We start from the raw sequence: 2581 nt of genomic DNA on the forward strand, positions 1-2581 counted from the left end.
GAGAGACTTGTAGAAGCAGAGTTAGAAAAATTGCTTAATAGTTGGTCTACTCAAATGTTCGAGCTGTTTGCACTCAGCCTAAGCCTTAAAGTACTTACAGAATCAAAAAACTGTATCTCAATCCTAACTCAAATGTTACCTGCACCCTCTCTGAAACGTATTTGCATAAGAACTGTTTACAGGAATGCATCTTGATAGGGCAGCTGGGTTGTTATGAAATACTTAGGAACCCAGCCCAGCTCTAGAACTCACCCCTGAGCGCAAAGGCAATGTCAGACACGCTGGTAAAGGACCACTAGAATCCAGCAGCCCAGACCCCTTTCTTTGTGGTCCAGAAATGCAGGAAAACGGGTGCAGGACTGCTACAGCGGTGAGCATAACTAATCCGATAAGCAGAGGTCCATGGGTGGTTACGCACCCTGGAAAGGAATAAGCGTTAGGACCCTCGAGGACACTCTAGGACTAATGCTCATCGGAAAATGACTAGGGGTGCTGGCATCCCTATGTTATTCTTTTCAGATTGGAAACATTCCCCCCAAGGCAAAAACGCCCCTAAGATGTATTCTGGAGAATTCGGCCCTGTCAGAGTGTATGTACCTTTTTCCCTCTCAGACTTGAAGCAAATTAAAATAGACCCAGGCAAATTCTCAGATAACCCTGATGGATATACTGATGTTTTATAAGGGTTAGGACAATCTTTTGATCTGACATGGAGACATAGAATGTTACTGCTAGATCAGACACTCCAAATGAAAGAAGTGCTGCCATAACTGCAGCCCCAGAATTTGGCAATCTCTGGTATCTCAGTCAGGTCAATGATAGGATGACAACAGAGGAAAGAGAACAATTCCCCACAGGCCAGCAAGCAATTCCCAGTGTAGACACTCATTGGGATGCAGAATCAGAACCGGGAGATTGGTGCCGCAGACATTTGCTAACTTGTGTGCTAGAAGGACTAAGGAAAACTAGAAAGAAGCCTATAAATTATTCAATGATGTCCACTATAACACAGGAAAGGAGGAAAATCCTACTGTCTTTCTGGAGAGACAAAGGGAGGCATTGAGGAAGCATACCTCTGTTACTTGCCTCTATTGAAGGCCAGCTAATCTTAAAGTTTATCACTGGGTCAGCTGCAGACATTAGAAAAAGCTTCAAAAGTCCACCTTAGGCCCAGAGCAAAACTTAGAAACCCTATTGAACTTGGCAACCTCAGTTTTTTACAATAGAGATCAGGAGAAACAGGCAAAATGGGACAAATGGGGGGAAAAAAAGCCACCGCTTTAGTCATGACCCTCAGGCAAGTGGACTTGGGAGGCTCTGGAAAAGGGAAAGGCTGGGAAAATCGAATACCTAAAAGGGCTTAGCTTCCAGTGCGGTCTGCAAGGACAATTTAAAAATGATTTTCTGAATAGAAATAAGCCACCCCCTTGTCCATGCCCTTCATGTCAAGGGAATCACTGGAAGGCCCACTGCCCCAGGGGGGCAAAAGTCCTCTAAGTCAGAAACCACTAACCAGATGATCCAGCAGCAGGACTGAGGGTGCCCAGGGCAAACACCAGCCCATGCCGTCACTCTCCCAGAGCCCCGGGTATGCTTGACCATTGAGGCCAGGAGGTTAACTGTCTCCTGGACACTGGTGCGGGCTTCTCAGTCTTACTCTCCTGTCCCGGATAACTGTCCTCCAGATCTGTCACTATCTGAGGGTTCCTGGGACAGGCAGTCACTAGATACTTCTCCCAGCCACTAAGTTGTGACTGGGGAACTTTAGTCTTTTCACATGCCTTTCTAATTATGCCTGAAAGCCCCACTCCTTGGTTAGGGAGAGACATCCTAGCAAAAGCAGGGGCCATTATACACTAGAATTAGGAGAAGGAAAAAGGGTAAATATATATACAGACTCTAAGTATGCTTACCTAGTCCTCCATGCCCACGCAGCAATATGGAGAGAAAGGGAATTCCTAACTTCCGAGGGAACACCTATCAAACATCAGGAAGCCATTAGGCCCCAAAATTCTCCTTGCCTCTGAGTCTACTTCCTCCAATTGCTGCCTAAAGCTAATTTTATCGGGAAGAGGATTTGCTTGTGTCTCTTCAGGTGACAATCAGGTGCCTGTGTGGGTGCCCACCACATCTGAAGATCACGAGCCATAGCATCTAGTGGACCCACCTGTACAGTGTGAATTGAAGGTTTGAAAAGCCTCAATTTGCTTTCTCTGTGCCTTCTGTTAATCAGAAAAGGCCGGTTTCTCATTATCAGTGACCTCTCAGCTACAACCACAAAAGTTTTTGCTTCTGTTTCAGTAGTAGATTTACAAACATGGGGGTGTGAGGGTACGCTTTTGTTTTTGCAGGAGATGAACAAACTGTATGAATGCCCTCAAGATGTGTATCAACCATGGAACGGGAGACTGGAGGGACCCATGGATCCCAACCATGGACCGGGTTCCCCCAGTACGAGCCATGAGCCAGCTGAATCTGAATGCGAAGATGGAACAAGGACCGACTGGAGTCACGATGCTTAACAGACCAGTGCTTTCTGACTCAGCTCCTCTCTAACCTGAATAAAGAGACCCTAATAGTT

The sequence above is a fragment of the Homo sapiens genome, chromosome 12 (assembly GCF_000001405.40).
Source record: "Homo sapiens chromosome 12, GRCh38.p14 Primary Assembly".
Taxonomy (NCBI): Eukaryota; Metazoa; Chordata; class Mammalia; order Primates; family Hominidae; genus Homo; species Homo sapiens.